The following is a 23,995-nucleotide window of genomic DNA, read 5'->3' as shown; positions in this document are numbered from 1 at the left end:
CAGTGCTCTTCCAAGTGATGGTTTGCCAACTTATCCTGGAGGAAATAAGGAGTTTGCATTTGAATATATAAACATACTGTTTCTTTCACAGAAGTTGTGCTTTAAGGAAAAAAAAAAGTCAGCTGAACTAAACATTCTATTTAAGTGATTAACATTCTGGCACAACCTCCAGGACAGAAAGTTCACAAACCCGAGCACCGGTCTACCACACTACATTGATTTTGCCTATCAAATTCTAGATTAGTCCAAGCTGATACCTTACACTTAACAGAATTCCAGGGTAGAGCATACAATCACATACCAATAACTTTATTTTCTCCACCCCACTGCCATCCTCAAGGAGTTAAGGAAAAAGAAACCCTTCAAATTATGGGATAATTTTTACAATGCCGATGTGCAATAGCAGGTGTCAAATTTCTTAACTTTACAAAAAGAGTAACTAATATTGAGGACTTAAACGAAAGGCCTGCAAACATTTAAAGTTTTCTAGATTTGGCCTGGGATGGTTGCCAATATATGCTCTAAAGCAGCTCTCCAAGTGTTATCCAGGAAACCTTGGGGAACCCCAACAGCCTTTCACAAGACCAGAACTATTTTCATAATAATACTAACATGATTATTTTTTTCTTCCTCATTTTACCACAAGCATACAGTGAAGTTTACCCAGAGGCTCAACAAAACACTGGATGTATCATAACAGATTGAATGCAGAAGCAGATACGAAATTATGAAATTCTAAGTGTCTTTTTCTATTAAGTCAAACATTACTAAGATGTTCAATGTCTATTTTTTTAAAAATTACTTTTCACAAAGATGTTACATATGTTACCATATAATGGGTTTACAATTGATATTTTAAATGAAATGAATAATTTCCCAGTTTTAATTTTTAATATGGTAGATATTGATGAGACTCAAACTTTTTCTTTCCTTTCCGTTCTTCCCCGAGATGAGGTCTTGTTATACTGCCCAGGCTGGTTTCCAACTCCTGGGCTCAAGCGAGCCTCCCTCCTCAGTCTCCTGAGTAGCCAGGACTACAGGTGGGAAGCACCTCGCCTGGCTCAAGACTCAAAAGCTCCAAAGTATGCAGATGATACTTAGTTGATAACAAGATGAGCTGGAATATGAATGCAAACTCATACAGGATTGAACTTAAGCACATCCCAGCAAATCAAAATTGGCATAGAATATTTAGAAGGGAAAATCTCAATTACAGTGTCTTTAAATAAAAATAAGCAACATTTTTTTCCTAATTCAGAGCCCCCTTTGAAAAATCAAATATGCACAACTAATCTAAAATAATCTACAAGTCATACCATGATTTTTTTATTTTACCTTTTATTATTATTATTTTTGAAACAGGGTCTTGCTGTCGGCCAGGCTGGAGGTGCAGTGGCGCAACCATAGCTCAACGCAGCAGCCTTAACCTTCTGGGCTCAAGCAATCCTTTGCTTCAGCCTTCCAAGTAGTTGGGACCACAGGAACACACCACCACACTTAGCTATTTATTTTTTTATTTTTATTTTTTTGTAGAGACAGGCGCTTACTATGTTGCCCAGGCTGGTTTTAAACTCCAAGCCTCAAGTGATCCTCCTGCCTTGGCATTCCAAAGTGCTGGGATTATAGTTGTGAGCCACTGCGCCCAACATTCCCATGACTTTTTTGTGAAGGAGGCATTCACCAAGCTTTTCCTAATCTTTACCATAAGCCAGGCTCTGCGGTAAACACCCCACAATAAATGTTTATCAGAGGACTTAGCAGGGAAGTACATTAAATGTTAACGCCTTAATCTGATACTGAAAATAAAAGATAATTTCAACTTGGTTTTTAATAGTTAACTTGATTTTAAAAAATCACCCACATACCCAAATATCTGTGTAGATAACTCTAAAGCCAACTTTTCAGGTAAGATTAAATTTACAGTTCATAAGGGCTGTTTGTATCATTCCCACTAGGTACATTATAATGCAAAAGACCACTACTTATGCACCTACAGGTGAAATCTAGAGAAACCAGAACGCGGATTCCAGAAACACAAAACATTTTATCTATTCTAGTAATGGTCTTCAACTTTCACTCACATAATTAAGTTCCCTGACACCCTTATGATTTGAATCATTCAAGCTTATCTACGCCCATTATTTATTCTTTCTGACTTCACTGGGTTAAACCCACTGCTGTAAAATCCTAATAATCAAAGTTTGTCTTCCCTGAATGAGGTGTTTGTTTTGTTTGCATTTGTGTTTTACAAAATAAAAAAAAAACAATGCCCACAAGGGCTGCTGCTGTCCTAGGAGTAGACAAATAGCAAATCTAAACTGTCAATGACAAGTGGAACTTTAGGTTAGTGTTACTTTGTAAAGTAATAGACTGTTTTCCAGGAAAACAGGCAGATTCATTCTAAAATCCTGAATATACATCTCACTGAAAATGATTTGCCCCCCCTTCTCCCCACTTGGCCTCATCCTCCCTTCCCTACTTGGAAAAAAAAAAAAAAGAAAGGAAAAAGAAAATGACCCATCACAAATAGTTTGACGATAGCACGCGTGAAGGCTTAGCGAGCTGTTTTCTCAGTCCCAGTCCCACCCTTTGATAGTCCGCTCTGTGATGCTAGAGCTGGGACAGTGCAAATTACTCTCTATTTAGCCAGATGGCTTCCTTCCTCTTAGAAGCATTAGACGAATGAAAGGCAGGAGAAAGGAGCAGCCGCCGTTGTTACCAGCTCTCGGCTACCATCCCACCACTAGAACTAGCTTCACCATACCCTCAGAGGTATTACTACCAGCTCTGTGGGGCTCCTCCTCTATGCTACTGGGTTCTAAAACCCCAAATTCATCCGGTTGTTCAATAGCCTTGAGTGGTGATTACTGTATGTGTTACCTGAGGGTTCCTTTGTTTTTTTTCAGTATCTGCTTAACCAATCCCATATATTAAATTCTGTGTTAAAACAATTAACATGATTTTCTTTTCTTTTTTGAGACAGTCTTGCTCTGTCACCCAGGCTGGAATGCAATGGGGTGATCTTGGCTCACTGCAACCTCCGCCTCCCAGGTTCAAGTAATTCTCCTGCCTCAGCCTCCCAAGTAGCTGGGATTACAGGTGCTTGCCACCATGCCAGGATAACTTTTGTATCTTTAGTAGAGATGGGGTTTCACCATCTTGGCCTCAAGTGATCCACCCGCCTTGGCCTCCCAAGTGCTAGGATTACAGGAGCGAGCCACCGTGCCTGGCCAATAGTATAATTTTCTAAATGGACACTAATACTATCTATTTTTATCCAAATATTATCCTAATGTCTCAATTTTCTATGGAAATGTACTATCCACACTGCTTCAACAAGAAACAAAAATAAAATCTGAAGGTCTTTCAACGTCAATTAAGACATGATGATCACTCAAATACTCAAAGCAAAATCAGTTGGACTCAACCTACACCTTTGTCAGCCTTCTCATTGTTCATTCTTTCCTATATTTCCACACTGCTACCCGAGATAATTTTTTAAATTGCAAATATGATGTTATTTTACTGATTATATCCTTCAATACCTCTCCACTGCCTTATATATGTATAATTAATATTCCTTGGCATGACATAGAGCTTCTTATGATATGCCTCCCACTTACCTCTGTAACTTTAGCTCCTGCCATTTTTCCACACTGTCAAAATTCTGGCAGTTCTCTAACCGTGCTACACTATTTTACACTTCTACATCGTTGCAAGCTCTATTCCTTTGTATGCTATGAAGTCCAGAGCTCTTTTACTGCCCAAGTTTTAGTCAGCCTGTTGGGAAGCATTAGTTATACTTTACTATCTTCCTCACCCAAGCTGGGAGTCCTGTGTTGAGCACCCTCCAAAGCAACTTTAACAGGCACTATTTGTTTACTTTTCTGTCTCTACCACAGGTCCCAGAATTCCTTTAAGATGGGCCACATTCCATATATATGCAGCTTAGCATATGCCTGGTGAATTAAAACCTTATTAATTTTTTGCTGAATTAAAAATTTCATTTAAACCTATGACTTAAAATTCAAAATAAATAACTTATTTCATTAAACTAAACTTCTGAAAATATTTAAAATCCCTCACTGGGTTTCACACCCTTGTGGACAGGTAACTGTATATCCCTAGCGTCTGGGAGAGTGTGTAAGACACAGTAGATAATAAATGTATCCTATAAGGAGTTTATACACTATGGAAAGAAAGTAAGCTTAACTTAGACCACTTTAAAGAAGTTTCAGCCTGAAGTTCTTTTTATCTCAGATATCACAACAGAAAAACATTGCTTTGTACAGGAATCCTAATTAAGTAATACCAAAGATACTATCTTCTGACAACTCTTCAGTTCCATTAATAAGCTTGGCTCATTGGTTTAAAATAGGATAATAATAATATCAAATAAACACATTAAGACTGTGATTGAAACATTTTTAAAAAAAAAGACATTAGATTTTACAAGACTTGCCATGGGTTGTATTTTTTTTTTTTTTTTGCAAAAAATTCCAAAGAAACCATATTGGACATGTTTATAATACTTACTGCATCTGAAGTTTTGCTTGGGTTATTGCTTGGATTAGAAGAATGTGAATTTGAACTATGAAGAGCACTGTGGTTGTGTGAATTTTCTTGTGGAGAGTAACTGGTCCCTTAAAAAAATAAAGAACAAAGTGAATTACAAGTAAACTGTATTTCATGTTTAATCTAAACTGTTTTCTATCATACTAGATATTATTTTATATCTCTAAACGAACATCTTACATAAGCATTAGGAATATATACACAGTCATACTTTTTATAGTATATAAAGTATCTGTGAACCTACTAAAGATGTGGCTTTAAATATTATACATAGTTGTCATCCTGATATGTCCTGGAACAGCAGCATATAACAACCTTTTTGAGAGAAACAAAACCTTATCTTTATCATTTGTAGCAACTTCTGGGTTTTCTTAAAGTTTTACTGGACAAAAATAGAAGTACAATGTGCACAGAAAAAAGGCACAAGAACTCAAATGATACAGAACTAAAAGTCACTGTTATCAGTATGTTTTTGCAACTGTATTTCAATTTCTTAACAGTTTCCCCTATTTGCCTTTTAATAGTCTTGACGATTTTTCAAATAAAACAGCATCAACTTTTTTCAAGAAGTTAAAGAGTCTCAGGGAAGGTGCTCACTTATAAGATGATAAAGATGACATCAAGACTCTTTTCCTAACAGGTCCAACTCTATCTAAAAATTGCTTAAGAGTAACTCAAGTTTTATGAAAATCTGTATATGTCAGTGACCACAGAAAAAAGTTTCTCTTGCTTTAAGAAAAAGCAGGGTATAAAAATCCAGACTTGCAAAAACACTTTGATGAATGACACAAAAAGGTTCACCACAGAAGTCTAATGTTAGTATTTCAATATCATTCCTTAATTCTAGATTTTTCAGCAACAAAGTAACATAATCCAACTGGTATTTTTTTTAGTAAGTGATCTAGGAGTGGCATGGAGGCTACACTATTATGAACAAAAACTAGAAGTGCAAAGAGCAATTTAAATGCTCCAGTGGTCCAGGAATTATCAGTTAGAACCAGGGTGGATAAAAGCAGAAATGAGTTAGGAATATTATTTCAATCAATAGAAACAACTAAATGGTAAGAGGAAAGGTGAACTGAGACAGATGATGACTATAAGGTTTTAGATATCCAAGTGAAAATGGTCCGATTAATACAGAACTAGGAATTCAGAAGAAAAGGTGTTAAGTAGATGTGGATTTGGAAGTCTTTTCTATTAGAAGTCAAAGGTAGGAGAGGTGACTAACTGCTTTGCATGTAAGCAGCAGGCACTAAAAAAGTTCATGGACGAAGTAAGAGTATGACAGGAAAAAAGGCAATGGCCAAGATTTACCCTCAGATAAGGGTCTGCTTATAATGGAAACTACATGCAGATTCAAAGACTCAAGAAAGCTAGTGATGTCACAAAAGATCAAAGAGAATTACCTAAGTACAATGGTTACTTAAGAACAACGTAGGTGGTATGATAGAGGATATTTCCTAAGAAGTCTGATGGGTTCTTCTACTTATTTTGATTTCATCTTGCTGTACAGTATTCTACTTATATAGATAGAATACCCTAAACCCCCTTTTAAATAACAGGAAGCAAGAAATAAATCCTCAATAAATGCTCTATGAATGAACAGAATCAAGAAGAAATCAGTCAAAAATAAGCTGAACACTTTGGGAGGCCGAGGCAGGTGGATCACCCGAGGTCCAGGAGTTCGAGACCAGCCTGACCAACATGGTAAAACCCCATCTCTACTAAAAATACAAAAGTTAGCTGGACGTGGTGGTGTGTGCCTGTAGTCCCAGCTACTCGGGAGGCTGAGGCAGGAGCATGAGCATCACTTGAACCTGGGAGGCGAGGTTGCAGTGAGCTGAGAATTGTGCCACTGCACTCCAGCCTGGGCAACAGAGCAAGACTCTGTCTCAAAAAACAAACAAACAAACAAACAAACAAAAAGGCTGAGTATACAGGAAAAGTTAACAGAAGCCCAGAGACTGCTATCTTTAGAAAGGCTTTCTGGCACAGCTGGCCCTTGACAGACATGTGGGAATCTAGACTTCCAGAGGGATCTCACAACCCTAACTGATAAAGAGGTGAAAGAGGTGCTCACTGAGGCCAGGCACAGTGGCTTGCACTAGTCCCGACTACTGAGGAGGTAGAGGCAGGGGAATCCCTTGAGTCCAGGAGTTCGAGACCAGCCTGGGTGATATAATGAGAACCCGTCTTAAAAAAAAAAAAAAAAAAAAAAAAAAAAAAAAGAATCGCTCATTGTACCTAAGCTGTTTGGGTATATAATATGGTTTGTACTGAACACCTGCTTTCCTACTGGAGTCTGAAATTTTGGTACATGCAAGGCAAAGAGTACCTATATAACTCACCAAATCCAGTAAAAGCCGTGCACACTAAATCTCTAGTGAGCTTCCCTGGTAGACAACATTCCACAAGTGTGTCACAATTTGTTGCTGGAGGAATTAAGTGCATCCTGTATGACTCTTAGGCAAGAATTCTTAGAAGCTTACACCTGGATTCCTTCAGATTTTGCCCCATGTGCCTTTTCTCTTTGCACCTGTCCACTGTAGTAAGTCACAGTCATGATAATGACTATGTTGAGTCCTGAGAGTCTTAGAGAATCACCAAACCTCACAAATGGTTTTAGGATCCCAAAATGCTTAGTAACAAAGGAAAATTAATACTTCAAGTTTTAAAGAAAAACATGAGATCTATGCTGAAATTTCTACTTTTCAGATATAACTCCAAAGATTTTTTAAAAATCAGATTTACAACTGAATATAAGAAGTAGAACTAGTAATATGGACTACTAGAATATATATGCACTACTCGCAGAGTGGGATTTCCATGAAAATTTCCTTAAGTTTGTCGACAGTAATGGAAAAAAACCTAATCTTACTGACTGAAATAAATCCCAGAGTAATCCATTAAAAAGCCTGGGTTAGATACCCCACTCAGACATTTATTTGCACACATTCTTGAACAGTATGTTCTATGCTTAAATCTATGAAATGAAAGTGCCACATTAAAAGTTTGCTGAAAGACCTGACAGGTATTCTACAAACATAAGGTATATTACAAATGAGGTCTATTGACCTCTCTCATGAGGTTAAGATCCAGAAATTCACTCCGCTTTAGTGACTATTCCTGAAGTCAATGAAAACTCAAATACTGACAAGCATTCCAATTAATTATACCTCTAAAGAAATGGTATGCCTTCCACCAGCCTGACAGAAGTTACCAACTAACTTTTAGGTCTAGTGTATGTGTTTTCAGAAGGCACAGCATAATAATCAAGTCATAAGCATCAAGGCACACCAGCCTGACTTCTCTAAAAGAGAAAACGGAATCAGTTGTTGATGGGGAAATTATTTTCAAAGACAAGAGCTTTTTGGATAGGGACCAGATTCCACATTCTATGGAGATTTACTTAGACTGCTTATCAAAAACAAAACTTAAAATGGGTGAGGAGTAAGATAAAGATATTTTTCTGAAAGACTAAGAATAAACTAACATTCTTAAACAGATTTCAAATTCACATAAGAGGTTTTATACAAAGCATGGCAGGCAGTACATCTTTACATTCCAACTAGAAAGATGCCCTTTGGACCTGAAGGTAGTGCAGATTTGCCCCTGAATAAAATGACAATAATAAGGTAAACAAAGTTAAATGTCTCAGAATAAAAGCTTCAGCTTATATTACCTTACATACTTTCTTTGGTATTTCATTTGAGCCTCTTACTTTCTCCGTGTATCTCTTTCCAAACTGAAGTAATACACAAGTAGAAGAACAAACTGATTGTGCACATCCTTCCCAAGGCTGGGGTAATGGTGGTTATGATTTTCTAGAGCCATACCGAAAAGAAGTGCTACAACACAAAATTCCTTTTAAATCTCCTATCTTAAAATATCACATGAATTTTTATATGCGACCTCACAAGTTTTAGATTTCTTTTATTATAATACAGAATCTAAGGCTAAGAGAAAGAATATAGTAAGACTTCTGAACCTATCCAGTAAGAGCAGAATCCACGCATAAAACTTGAACTCAGAATTTCAATCCCAAATCTAGTGAGTATTCAAGCACACAAAGGAAGATAATATATACATGCTGGTGAGAGACAGAGTGCATAAAGGGTACTTTTTACTGTATAAACAGCATTGTCTCCATTGCTTCATTGGGTCACACACTGGGTCACACAATGATCCAAAAAAGCAACGGAGGCAATGCCATTTATACAGTCAAGTACCTTTATGCACTGTGTATATTACCAAGGAAAAGCTCGCTATTTAACGACAAAAAAAAAAAAAAATTCATCTACCCAAGAAATACTGTATCAGTGAGTAAGTGGGATAAAAATGTTTTTAAATGTTGTACATTTAAACCAACCTCAAGAAATTAAAGTTAGGACTGATAAAGTTAAGTCTTAAAGGAGTCTAAGAAAAGGATGCTATTGGGAATGACTTGGTTTAGGGAGAAGAGCAGGACAGATATAGGGGCTCTATACTTAAGCTTGCAACTTTAAGAACTTAAATGGTGAGCAAAATTCTCCCTTCCAGTGCTTAGCCAGGGCAAATTATAAAATGGAGATGTAACAACATGACTGGATGCTAGTTTCAGACCACCGTCCAAGGGTCGGTACAAGAGAATGACATTTTCCCTGACAAAATCTTCAGTATTTTTGACAGAATAATCCCTATTTGGCATCTTCTGAAACTTCAGAAGCTAAAATTTAAGGGTGAGAAGGACACAACCTATAGTTTCAAAGAGTGAGGGCCTAGGAAAATAATCAGAAAATGGTCCAAAAAAAATTCATCAAAACATACCTGACTCAGCGAGAAATGGACATTAAGCAATTACAATGCCCTTCCATTTACAAAAGGGAACCAGGATATTAGGAGTAGGGAAAGCAGAGGGAGGACATACAACTCTATATGATTAAATGGCAGTGGGAAAGGCAACCAGCTTTCAAAAAGGTGGAACAACAGTTTTCAGTCTACTCAGGAGCAAAATATTATGGCATTTATGTCCTTATTCAGACCCTGACAACCGCCAGAATTTATTACCAGATCCACAGACTTAGAAGTCTTAGTGTCTTTATTCTCTTTAAGACACTAAGGAAGGAACAGGTATATCTGTATACTAAATGAAATAATTCAAAGACATCTACCATCTCATATTGCTTTCAGACAAAAGCAAAAATAGGACTGAATAAAGCTCAGTAGTGGATCTGAATCTTTAGTATATTAAAAATTGTAGATCTCAAAGTTGTCTTTCTCAGAGATTCTAATTCACAGTAATTTTTAAATTTTTTTGTTTTGTTTTGTTTTGAGACAGGATCTCTCAGTTACCCAAGCTGGAATGCAGTGGCACGATCTTGACTCACTGCAACCTCTGCCTCCCGGGCTCAAGAGATCCTTGTGCCTCAGCCTCCCAAGTAGCTGGCACTACAGATATACGCTACCATGTCCCACTAATTTTTGTATTTTTAGTAGAGACGTTCACTTTGTTGGCCAGGCTATTTTCGAACTCTTGTCCTCAAGTGATCCATCCACCTGCCTTGGTCTCCCAAAGTGCTGGGACTGAAGGCAAGAGCCACCATGCCTGGCTTAATACCTGAATTTTTAATAGGCATTCCCAGGATGGTTCTAGTATAGTTAGCACCCAGGCCACACATTGGGAAACAAAGGTTTACGAAGTCAAATGGTAGAGGACACTCAACGAATCTCCCCTGAAAAGATGGCAATATGCTAAAAATAAACTGATGATCATACCCTCTTCACTTACAGAGATTATTATACTCTACAGGTCAGTACCTTCCCAAGATCTTCTTCCTCTGTTACTCTGAATGCTGTACTACCTTCCAGTGTCCTTGGCCTTTCATCACTCCTAACCAGCGGCCACAGCACTTAAAAGAGTTTCACCAAGAAAGCCACATATCTGTACTATACGGTTTTTCTGCTATAACATGATAAATGTTCGCCTTGAAAAGACTGAATTCTGCAAAACTGCATATTAAAAAGTCTTATGGGAAAAATAGAACAAAGCCGTTCAAAATTATGCAACTTTATTATCAGAGTACTAATAAAAACTTGAATAGCACAGACAAGCAGCTCAGCATGGAAATCAATTACTTTCAAGAGATAATAATGCAAAAAAAACCATTAGGATAAAAATGCAGCTATTTAGGGGTAAGAACATGGAAATGGAAGTAACTTCTGAGCATTATCCTTGACTAAAAAAAATTTGTACACACGAACCAATACAACTTTAGTTTATAATAATATCATTCTGCAATTTACCAACTGTATATCAAGAAACCTGGTGGTGAAAAGCGAAACTTATAGCTAACCAGGTTTTGTCTCTTGCGGGAGGGAAAAATGGATCACAACAAGTATCAACAATTTGACAGCTGGTTGTACAGTTACTCCCTCTACATTTGTGCTATTCAATGACAGTCACTGGCCACACATAGCTACTAAGCACTTGAAACACAGCTAGTAGGAATTGGGATTTTCTGTATGTGTAAAATAGATACTAGATTCCAAGACTTAGGTAAAAAAACAAATGCAAAATATCACATTAATATTTTTATATTGATTACATGAAGTATTTTAGCTGTATCTGGTTAAATAATAAATATAATTGAAATTCCAGATGTTGGCTACTAAAAAACTTAAAACTGCATATGAGACTCACTGGACAGCATTGCTCTCCATGAAGGTGAGCTGATATTTAGTGAAAGGGGGCCAGGGATGCCTACTGGGCATTATACATGTCTCCCAAAGAACTGTCTAACATCTGAAAACAAGCTGCTTATAATTAACTGAGTCTAGAACCAAAATCTGCTTAGCACAGCATGCTAAATTTTCCAGGAATACAGCTGCTATGCAAATTGTACTGTATAAAACTTAATTCTTTTTTACACATGAACCAATACAACTTTAGTTTATAATAAGGTCATTTTTTGGAACTTTTATCAAAATGTTCACTACTTGGAAAAATCTCACCACTGACAATAATGCTATATATATAATACATCTGCCTTATATCTGTCACAAACAAATGACATTAAGTAGATTCCTTTGTTGACAGGTTCAAACATTGAAGTGGCAGAGATAAACGCTAGATGAAACACTCAACAAATTTCATTGTTTAAAAAACAGTACTGCCGTATCTTATCTTAAATATATATATATGGCTACATATTTTTAGCACAGTGCTACAAAGAGTTTGTGAAAATTACACGTAACATTATTTCTATCTGCAGGCAGTATATGTTATTATGTATATATTACTATGGCGATTTTATACCATACAGTCATGTGCTGCTTAAAGACAAGGATACGTTCTGAGCAATATGTTGTCGAGCAATTTTGTTGTGCAAACATCCTAAGAGTGTACTAACGCAAACCTAGATGGTATAGTCTACTACACACCTTGGCTATGTGGTATAACCTATTGCTCCTAGGCTATAAATCTATACAGCCTGTAACTGTACTGAAGACTGTAGGCAACTATAATACAATGTTAGTATTTGTGTATCTAAGCATATCTAAACATAGAAAAGGTACAGTAAAAATACATTATGAGATCACCTTCACATACACAGTACTTCATTTATGGAAACATTATGCGACAGGAGAGTTTTAAAATGGGAGGCGGCACGTGCAAAAGAATGAAACTGAGTTGTGTTTGAAAAGACACTACCAGAAAGTGAAAAGACAACACATAGAATGTTGCTAATCATACATCTGGTAAGACTTTTACCTAATTCTACCAGTAAGAACTCCACAGCTCAATAAAAATAATCTGATTAAAAATGAGTAAAAAATCTGAACAAACATTTCCTCAAAGATGACATACAAATTGCCAAAGCGCATATCAAAGATGAACAATGGCATTAGCCATTGGGGAAATGCAAATCAAACCTGCAGGGAAATAACACTTCACACCCACTAGAATAGCTATAGTCAAAAAGACAGGCAAAAACAAGTGTTGGTGAGGATGCAGAAAAACTGGAACCCTCTTATACAAACTGCTAATGTGAAAGTAAAATACTGCATCTGCTTTGGCAAACAGTCTGGTAGTTCCTGAAAATGTTAAGCATAGTTATCTGTAGCCATAAAAAAGAACAAAAGCACATCATATATACAAACAAAACATTGGGTACTCGGGGACGTAAAGATGGCAACAACAGAAACTGGGGACTACTAGAAGGGGAGGAAAGGAGGAGATAAGGGTTGAAAAACTAACTGTTGGGCACTATGCTCAGTACCTGGGTGATGGGATCATTCGTACCCCAAACCTCAGCATCACTCAATATACCCAAGTAACAAATCTGCAAATGTACCCAACTAAATCTTACACAAACAAAAACTTAAAAACAGGATATCCTCTATTAGTTGAAGATATATACAAAATACTAATAATAAACAAGTACTATAATCCTGGGTTAAACAGAACATCAACATTTACCAAATAATAAGCTCTAGGTACCATTAATGTAACTTTTTCTTTGATTCATTGATTCATTCATTCATTCAAACATCTACTTGTGTACCTAAAATGTACTGGCACTATACTGGCAAACAAGAATAAAGCAGTGAAAAAGAGATGAAAAAAACCACCGACCAACCAATCAGTTATATGAGCCAGCAATCCCACGCCTAGGTACATATTCAGAAGAAATGAAAATATATGCCCAAACACTGTACATGAATATTCATAATGCATTATTCTTGGCTGGGCACAGTGGCTCACACCTGTAATCCTAGCACTTTGGGAGGCTGAGGCAAGCGGATTGCCTGAGCTCAGGAGTTTGAGACCAGCTTGGGCAACATGGTGAAACCCCGCCTCTACTAAAAATACAAAAAATTAGCTGGGTGCGGTGCTGTGTGCCTGTAGTCCCAGCTACTGAGGAGGCTGACACAGGAGAATCGCCAGAACCCGGGAGGCAGAGGCTGCAGTGAGCTGAGATTGCACCACTGCAGTCCAGCCTGGGCAACAGAATGAGACACTGTCTCAAAAACAGCAACAGGCCGTGCACACTGGCTCACTCCTGTAAGCTCAGCACTTTGGGCAGCCAAGGCAGGCGGACTGCCCGAGGTCAGGAGTTTGAGACCAGCCTGGCCAACATGGGGAAACCCCGCCTCTACTAAAAATACAAAAATAAGCCAGGTGTGGTGACGCATGCCTGTAATCCCAGCTACTTGGGAGGCAGAGGCAGGAGAATCACTGGAACCTGGGAGGCGGAGGTTGTAGTGAGCCGAGATCGTGACACTGTACACAGAGCAAGACTGTCTAAAAAAAACAAAAACAAAACAAAACAAAAAAACACATAATGCATTATTCTTAAAGTCAAAAAATAAAAACCAAATGTTTACCAATTGACAAGAAAATGTGGCATAATCATGCAACAGAATATCATTTAGCAACAAAAAGAAATGAGTACTAATACATGCTACAACATAAATGAATCTCAAAAATATGCCAAGTGAAATACCCCAGTCACAAAAGATCAAATATGGTATGAGCCCATTTATTCAAAACATTAAGAATAGACAAACCTGTCGAGACAGAAAATGCAGTAATAGTTTCTTAGAGCTGAGGGTGAGGGGGGTGTTGGGGGATGACAGTTAAAGGGTTTGTAAGTGATATAAATATTCTAAAGTTGATTTAGAACATTGGTGACTACTAACTGTGAATATATTAAAAATCAGTGAACTATACACTTCAAATGGCTGAATGGTATGGTATGTGAATTACACATAAATAAAACTTACGCCCCCACCAAAAAAAGCAATCTACTATACATGTGACTTTAATTTGTCTAGCTTAGACACAGTCCTTAATTCTTCAGTTCTCAACACCTAATCCCATGGGATGCTTTGAATAGAAAGTGGTGCACGACTGTGAATCTGGAATAAGCTGTACTGACATTCTCTTATGGCTTAAATGTACCTTATAGGCTCTGAGAATTACTGGAGTAAAATTTTAACCTAGGAAGCGAAAGCCTAAGTACTGATATGTAAAACAATATGGGTGAGCTTTGCAAACACTAAGTGAAAGAAGCCAGTCACAAAAGACCACATACTGTGTAATCAGTTTATATGACATATCCAGAAAACAAAAATCTAGAGAGACAGAAAGTAGATCAGTAATTGGGGAGTTGGGCTTTGAGAAGAAAAAATGAAAGTGACTGCTAATGGGTATACAGTAATTTTGGGGGGGAGATGACAATTGTTATGTGAATTTCATCTCGATTTTTAAAAATAATCAGGAATTCCAGACCAGCCTAGGGAAATATAGGGAGAGATTCTGTCTCTACAATAATACTAACAAATATCTTAAAAATAGAAAAAAAAATAGCCATGTAAAATATTTTTTAAAAGAGATGGCTGGTCTAACCATGTTAAGAGCCACTCCTTTAGTGAGACTAGCAATCAGGCAATCTGGGCTTCACTTCAGATTTTGCCTCTACCTAGGTGGGGGCCCACCTGTGGTCACTTGTCAAATAAGATATTGCCTGACACTGTACACAGCTGAAATAATCACAACAAAGTCTAAAATGAGATACTTATGAATGTTTCTAACTTCTTTTGACCCCTGCCATCTGACTTTTCACTAAGGAATTAGCTAAGATTTCAAGAGTAAGGTTTTTGTTGTTGTTGCTGAGACTGAGTTTCGCTCTCATCGCCAAGGCTGGAGTGCAATGGTGCAACCTTGGCTCACCGCAACCTCTGCCTCCCGGGTTCAAGCAATTCTCCTGCCTCAGCCTCCCAAGTAGCTGGGATTACAGGTGCCCACTACCACGCCAGGCTAATTTTTGTATTTTTAGTAGAGACGGGGTTTCACCATATTGCCCAGGCTGGTCTGGAACTTCTGACCTCAAGTGATCAGCCCACCTCCACCTCCCAAAGTGTGGGATTACAGGTGTGAGCCACCACACCCAGCCAAGAGTAAGATTTTTAGATCCTTTATACATTCTGTATCTACTCTCCTCTATCTCCCACTCTATTTCTTGGTCATGTTTGATTTCTCAGCTTAAATGTCACATCCTCAGAAAAGCCTTTCTTGACCACCAAATTTAAAGCAAGCCCCCATCATAGCACACATCTCTCCTTAATGGCTTTTTTTTTTTTTTTTTGGAGACAGAGTCTCACTCTGTTGCCCAGGCTGGAGTGCAGTGGTGCGATCTCGGCTCACTGCAAAATCTGCTGCCCAGGTTCAAGCAATTCTCCTGCCTCGGCCTCTCAAGTAGCTGGGATTACATGCACCTGCCACCAAGCCCGGCTAATTTTTGTACTTTTAGTAGAGATGGGGTTTCACCATCTTGGCCAGGCTGGTCTTGAACTCCTAACCTCGTGATCCACCCGCCTCGGCCTCCCAAAGTGCTGGGATTACAGGCCTGAGCCACTGTGCCTGGACAACAGCTGCTTTTATGCAGTGTAATTACATCCTATATTGCTCCCTGTTTTATTTTTAAATTAAGTAGTTATTCTAAGGGAGGAAAGCATTCCTCTGAGAGAAAAAATATAGGTTAGTGTAAAACAGTAAGTTTTATAAAAATTTATCAAATTATAATAAGATTCTAAAAGGTGAGCAAGTAATATAGCTAAAAAACTGAGTATTATCCCTTTTCCAAGCTGACTGATTAGAGTTACAAGAACAGAAGGCAAAAAGAAACAGAGGCAGGTACCTGCATACACATAGGTGTCTCCAAGTAATTTTACCTCCTGACCCTAATTAACCAAGAAGTGGATTTCAACTTTGGAAGCCACATGGAACTCACCTCTCAATCTGAAAAGGAGTGAAAATGAGCACAAAGCAATCTTCAAGTACATGCTGCGCTTTCATCTGTCTGAGTTACATTAAGATAGTAAAGTAAGGCAAGCTACAAAAATCATCTCACACAGAAGATTTCAACTTGGTACAGTAGACAACAACCTTCAGTCAAGGGACACATTATGAACAACAGCATAAAAGTAGGAAAGTACATGGTGATAAAGATTCAGAGGGCAAAGTACAACAGTCTGACAGGAACACGGTTACTGTACCTGCGATGTAACAGATGTGTAAAGCTGTTATGCTAGACTACTAAGGGGCCTTGGATACTAAACTAAAGAAAGAACAGATCTCATCTTCTGAATAACAAATTCTCAAAATTATTTACTTTTCACTTTTAAGCATTTTTCGATGCTTCTGAATAGTACTCGCGGCATCACAAAAAAGCACATGAAAAGTATATATTTAAGGGCCAGGCATGGTGGCTCACGCCTGTAATTCCAGCACTCTGGGAGGCCAAGGTGGGTGGATCACGTGAGGTCAGGAGTTCAAGACCAGCCTGGCCAACATGGCGAAACCCCAGGTGTGGTGGCGAGCGCCTGTAGTCCCAGCTACTCGAAGAGGCCAAGGCAGGAGAATCGTCTGAACCCAGGAGGCCGAGGTTGCAGTGAGCCAAGATCGCGCCACTGAACTCCAGCCTGGGTGACAGAGTGAGACTCCAACTCAAAAAAAAAAAAAAAAAAAAAAAAAAAAGTATATCTTTAAGGATAACACAACTAAAGAAGAAGAGTCTTTCTAGAAAAACAGTTATCTAATTTTTTCCCCAACTATTTAAAGCCACAGAGTTCTTTCCTTATATGGCTGGCTGTTCATCCTTCAGGTGTTAATTCATAAGTCAGCCTTTCCCTGACCAATGTAACTACTCTGCCTACGTCACTAACACTACTGTTTGAATCACTATTTCCTTATCACACAATTATCCTTTTATATATTTTATATTGTCTGTCTCTTCCACTAGAAGAGAAACTCTGAGGACAGGGATCTTCCTGACATGCCACTGGAATAATTTCATAATTACAACAGTGCCCAGATCTGACAGTACACTCCAAAATAAAATAAATGCATGAATGAAAGTCCAATACTTAAAAGCAGAGCTGCTCCTATTGCAACAGGATAGTGGGTGATTAAGGATCAACTCTTAATTCAGTCTGTTCTTAGACCCTCTGGGCTCCATACAGCATCATTTAATAATAAGGGATACAGAGAGTGTCTGCAGATGAGCTGCCGAAGGCTGGAGATAACAAATCTTAGTGTCATATCCAAGAATATAAACATCATCTATTAAATACAACTATTATAAGCATAGCAAAAAAGTTTTAAGACAACACACTATACCTGTAATACCCACTAAAAATACTTAGAATAAAAGTTGGTAACTAGTAACTTTAAAATTACTCTAGCCTCCACTCTATTATCTGTACAAAATAAAATAAATTGGAATAGTACTTTTCCCAAAAATATGTGGTATTAAAGAGAGAAAAAAGGTAGCGTATTACAGCAGAGTTACCTCAAGGAAAACTTTAAGTAAATTCTCCCTTACAGATAAGGCAATTTCAATACTGCTCATGTGTCTCAGCTGAGACATGTGCTCACAAAGCAGTATTTATTCTAAAACTCCATCTGTTTTGGGTGCTTAGTCATCCTGCTTTTATGCTGAGACAACCAGAGGTGCATTTTTGGATAGAGCCATTGATAACCCAATATTGGACACTTTTGGTGCTGTTGAACTATGAAATGGTTGTTTATTCAAGGGAAAGTACATATTGCCACACTGCCTAAACCAATTTTATACACAAAAAGAAACAGATGGAAATGTTACTTACTATAAAGTACTGTACTAAAGATAAAAACAGAATCTCAATGATTACTGGAGGGGAAGCCCCAACAAACCATATGTATGACAACATCTCTAGACATATCTCTTCACTCTCCCTTCAGTCCCAATCTTTGCATTCCCCACCAACCTCCTTGCCCAGCCACAGCTCTAGCCGAACTAGATTATAGAAGTTCACTGAGGAACTGTTTCAAACATTCAGAGATTAATTCTCAGTGTATATATGCTCCAGAAACAGATTCAATCATAAAAGTAATCAACTGCAAAATGCCGACAAACAATAGAATAAGAGAATTCACAACTATATACACCCCTTAGCACAGGAATACAAAATGGCTGAATAATCAGACTGGCAAAAATATAATTCTTAAATGTTTATGTCTTTAAAATATGCTATCAAAAGAGAGCAGTTGATAACATTCAAACAGATTTCCAACAAAGCATTAACAACTAATTGTAGGAATAGATGAATGTTTCCTTAATATGAAAAAGTTTTTGCATAATGATCATTTACCACCAGGCACAAGAACGAAATTCTCATAAATCTATTTTTACCATTATTTTTAAAAACTGCAGTACTATTTTATCTGATTTTCTATAAAGAACAGTTATTAGTATTAACAGGCTATAGAAAAACACTTAGAAAAGGTGAGTCTCCTTATAGTTTTTCTATATGTACATATTGTAACCAAAAATAGAATCATGCTACTTTGTGTGGGGATTTTTCTATTTAGTATCCAGGAACTTCTTCATTCATCAATAAATGTGCCTCTTACACCATCATTTTTAACAGCAACTCCACATGTACAATGCATATATTGTATGTAATCCACATGTACAATGCATATATTGTATGTAATCACAGGGACATATATGTTCTCTAATTACTATTTATCTGGGTGTTGGAATTCCCAACTCATATAAAAAGAACTTAGGCCGGGCACAGTGGCTCATGCCTGTAATCCCAGCACTTTGGGAGGCCAAGGTGGGCGGATCATGAGGTCAGGAGTTCAAGAGCAGCCTGGTCAGCATAGTGAAACCCCGTCTCTGTAATAAATAAGCCTGACATAAGGGGAACATCACACACCAGGGCCTGTCGTGGGGTGTGGGGAGAGGGGAGGGATAGCATTAGGAGATATACCTAATGTAAATGACAAGTTAATGGGTGCAGCACACCATGATGGAACACGTATACATATGTAACAAACCTCACGTTGTGCACATGTACCCTAGAACTTGAAGTATTAAAAAAAAAAAATTAGCCTGGCATGGTGGCGGGTGCCTGTAATCCTAGCTACTCAGGAGGCTGAGACAGGAAAATTGCTTGAACCCGGGAGGTGGAGGTTGCAGCGAGCCAAGACCGTGCCACTGCACACCAGCCCGGCTGACAGTGCAAGACTCCATCTCAAAACAACAACAACAAAAAAAGAACTTAGTATCTAATATTGAAATAATCATATGAAAGTTATCTTAAAAGACCTATTTCCAATTGACTTAAAAAGCCATTAATTCAGCAACTGGAATAATGTATTTTTGCAAACAACTCAGATGAATCCGACAGCAAACTGACACTGAAAATTACGTTAAAAGTAAACTTTCAAAAAGAAGACAGTTTGAGAATATGTTTCTGTATTTGCCCTCTATAACACCTATCAAAAATAACTAAAGGGACCAAAAAGAATATGTAATCAAATCTAACAAGGCAAGTCATAACTCAACAAACCGTCTCTGACAAATGGTTTCAAGAGACAAATTAAATCCATACTGAGGCCGGGCGAGGTGGCTCAGGCCTGTAATCCCAGTGCTTTGGGAGGCCAGGGTGGGCGGATCACTTGAGCCCAGGAGTTCGAGACCAGCTTGGGCAACATAGCGAGACCCCCATCTCTACAACGGTGTGGTGGTACCTGCCTTTAGTCTCAGCTACTTGGGAGGCTGGAGTGGGAGGATCACTTAAGCTGAGGAGGTCAAGGCTGCAGTGAGCCATGATAGTGCCACTGCACTCCAGCTTGGGCTATAAAGTGGGACCTCATCTCCATTTAAAGAAAGAAAGAAAAAAAAGAAAAGCCCACACTGAAATGCAGGAAGGTACAAGTTCCAATTCTTGTCAAGGCTACATATTTTGAAAACTTATGGCAGGCAGAAGAGGTGGGAGAGAAGGGTCATCTGTACCAATAAACTGCCTTTTTTTGGCCCAGTGATGTAGAGAATTGTCAGAAGGGAGCCCTGCGCCACCCTACATCTTTGCCTGGATCCCCAGGTGTAATCTCTAAGAAGAGACTTCATCAAATACTGTAAACCTTCAGAGTAAATATATAACCTCCTCACTTTATCACTCTCTTCCAAATAAATGCCTTTCATAGCTCTTTCCTTAACCTGGCCTCAGATTACAAACACCAAATTTTAAGGGCACAATTAAAATAGTGTCCAAAAGAGTAAGACGCAGAATCAGAGAGTATCTAATCATACTATCCACACTGGATCCACTCAAAACAAACACACACAAAGCCTGTACAGACATGGAAGTGGGGGTATACAACATAAAGAAAATATACTTCGAAAGAAATTTCAGGAAACCAAAAACTTTAGATAAAGTCCCCCCAACAAAAAAGAAAAAAAAAAAGAGCTGGAATTTAGAGGAACTTAAGGAAAAAGATGAAATTATTTAAAAATAAAACCACATTAGAAGTAGCAAAAGAATAACATGACTGAAAGCAATGTCAATCATAAGGAAACAGAACAGAGAAATACCATAAAGCACATAAGACAAAAATGTAAAGTACTTAGAGATAAGATGCCCAATATGAAAGATGAAGCCAATATATGCAAAACTGAAGGTCCTGAAAAAAAAAAAAACAGGGAGGACATTCAAGGGGATAATAAAACAAAACTTCCCTGAAATAAAAGAAGATCTGAATCTGCAGATTGAAAAGGACTCACCACATACCAGCAAAAATAAAGAACTGAAAAAAACTGACACATGTCCTCATATCCTGGTGGAGCTGCTGAATTTTACCCATTAACAAAAATTCTAAAAGCATCCCAGCAGAAGCATATCACTTACAAAACAAAAATGGGCTGACCTTGGACTTTTCCACAGTAACACTAAATGCCAGAAGACAATGGAGTAATGTCTTATGGTAAGAGAAAAAAACTGGATGTGACCCAGAAAATTATTTTCCAATCTAAGATGTCATTCATGAGTAAAAGCAATAGGAAGACATTCTCGAATACACTGGGGGAGAGGAAACTACAGAATACAGACAATCATAAGAAAAATCAACATACATTCACAAATGGAGTAGCTGTACTTTGAGGACTGACAGTGTACACCAAATCCAGCTAAACTCACCTGCTTACTGTCTGAGATCAATAGCCACTCTGATTACCATGTGCTTATTTTGACAACTTAATTTGTTTTGTGTCCAAGGACTGACATTATACAGTAAATATTTACTCAAAATATATTCCTCACACTTTTTCTATTTTTTTATAAAAACAGTCAACACTTGCCCCACCCTACTCCCAGCATATGCACACACACACGTGCACACACAATACTCACTTAACAAACATTTAATTTATTGAACATTTATTATATGCCAAAGCTGGTATAAGACACCAAAAGAGTAAGACAGAAAGTATTCTTCCCTGGAGCTTTGTCTGACTTTCCAAGCTTTATTAGGCATCAAACAAAACTGAAGTGCTTTTTAAGATTCAAGTCTCCTACGTCGTCTAAGGCAGAGTAAGTAGCCTTCAGTACTATATTTTACTCTAATTTTTTTTTAACACAATGGCAGTACTATAAGTATGAAACTTTGGTATAAATGTCAGATTCTAGATTGTGCTCCTGCTTTCTGCACACTCTAATATTTTTAAACATCTCGAAAATACAGAGTGGCAGCAAAATTACCTGTAAAAACATACTAGCTCAAGAGTTTGACAGGCTCAAAATAAATTACCTTAAATACATTAAACAAGAAGTGTATTTGTTATACAGTATGTACTGACCAAAATTAAAGTGCAGGTTGTACAGAAAGAGCTGCTTGTGTTATTTTATGAGCAAAATGAAAAGCTAATTTGGTACATTTAAAAATTAGCATCTAGCAAATTCCTTTTAAAAATTCAGGTATTTCCATAATAACCTACAGAAAAATGTAATGAGAAGACAACAGATAAAAACAGTAACAATTTATAATAATATTATTTGATAATTGATGACAATAAGTGAAGATTATTCTGCTTTTAACTGTCACTAGAACATTAAGCAGAGCTGGGTGGGGTGGTGCACACCTGTAGTCCCAGCTACTCCAGAGGCTGAGGCAAGAGGATTGCTTGAGCCCAGGAGTTCCAGGCTGCAGTGAGCTATGATTGAGCCACTGCACTCCAGCCTGGGTGACAGAACAAGACCCTATCTCTTTAAAACAAAAGTAAAAAATGTTAAGCAGCTAACCTACCATATGAATTTTGCAGTTGCACTCTTGGGAATTTATCACAGAGATACAAAAAGTTATGTTCACACAAGAATCTGTACATGAATGTTATAAGAGCTGTACTGCTAACAGCCTTAACCTGGAAACGATCCACATTTCCTTCAATGGCGTATGGTTAAACAAATTGTGGGACATTCAAACCAGCGGTTAAAACAGGAACATATAACAACTTGGATGGTTTTCAAGGCAATTTTGCTGAGTGAAAAAAAGCACATTTCAAAAGGGTAATGCTATACCATTTATACATAACACATTCCTGAAATGACAAAACTAGAGAGGCTGAGAACAGATTAGTAGTTACTAAGGGTTATGGAAGGTTAGGCTGTGCCTTTAAAAGAGTAGCACAAAGAATTCTTGTGATGGAACTGCTCTGTATCTTGACCGTGGCGGTAGTCACCTTAACGTATTCATGCAAAAAACAACAACCAACCCTGCATGGAACAAAATACAGACACACACACTGCATGCAAATCTAGTAAAATCTCAATAGAGACAATGGGGATTATCATTATCAATTTTGAGGCTGTCATAATATACTACAGCTACGCAAGGTGATGCCATTGTGGCAAACTGGATGAAGGGTATACTGAATTTCTCTGCAGTATTATTTCATAATTGCAGGTAAATCTACAATTATCTCAAAATAGATTTTTCTTCCCCTAAAAAACTAGCTAAATATAAACAGGTGAGGTTTAAACCCAAGTATAACCTTTATGTCTATTCTCCTGCCTATTAACAAGCATGAGTAGTGTGGTATTGTTCTCCTTGTCCCTAATGATAAAGACATTGTTGGTGGATGTTCTTTTGTCACTGCTCCTCAGTATCCCCACTAACATTCCTTAATTTCCACTAATGTGTTTTCATCACTCCCACTACTCCTCTAACCACCATGGCCTTCTCTGTCTTCTCTTCTTCCATCTCTATGACTTCAGTCAGCATCAAAACTTAATCCAAAAACTCATTTTTGCCTTCTAGCTACAACAACAGTATCTGACCACAGGACATTTTCCCTTCCCATTGTTCTTGTTCCTAGGGTTTTTGTTTTGTTTGGTTTTGTTTTTTTGAGACAAGGTCTGGCTCTATCGTGCAGTGGCACAATCTTGGCTCATTGCAACCTCCACCTCCTAGGCTTAAGCCTTCCTCCCACCTCAGCCTCCAGAGTTGCTGGGACTACAGGTGTACACCACCATGCCTGGCTCATTTTTGTATTTTTTGGTAAAGATGGAGTTGCCCAGCCTGGTCTCAAACTGAGCTCAAGGGATCCGCCCG

At 37.9% G+C, this 23,995-nt stretch overlaps 1 protein-coding gene across 18 annotated transcripts in view; it reads right to left on the bottom strand.

The window, feature by feature from the left end:
* The window catches only part of WAC (WW domain containing adaptor with coiled-coil), a 90,334-nt gene that overhangs the window by 35,071 nt on the left and 31,268 nt on the right, over positions 1-23,995 (bottom strand). For all 18 annotated transcript variants that reach the window (XR_007061967.1, XM_047425320.1, XM_047425315.1 and 15 more), the window contains one exon: positions 4,537-4,643. Coding sequence is in view for 17 of the 18 variants with exons in the window: in XM_047425320.1 (XP_047281276.1) it covers positions 4,537-4,643 (107 nt within the window). In the remaining variant the exon portion in view is untranslated. The remainder of the gene's footprint in view (positions 1-4,536; positions 4,644-23,995) is intronic.

Source organism: Homo sapiens, chromosome 10 (genome assembly GCF_000001405.40).
Source record: "Homo sapiens chromosome 10, GRCh38.p14 Primary Assembly".
NCBI classification, from domain to species: Eukaryota; Metazoa; Chordata; class Mammalia; order Primates; family Hominidae; genus Homo; species Homo sapiens.
Note: the sequence above shows the minus strand (reverse complement) of the source record. Positions and strands in the feature narration are given on the sequence as shown.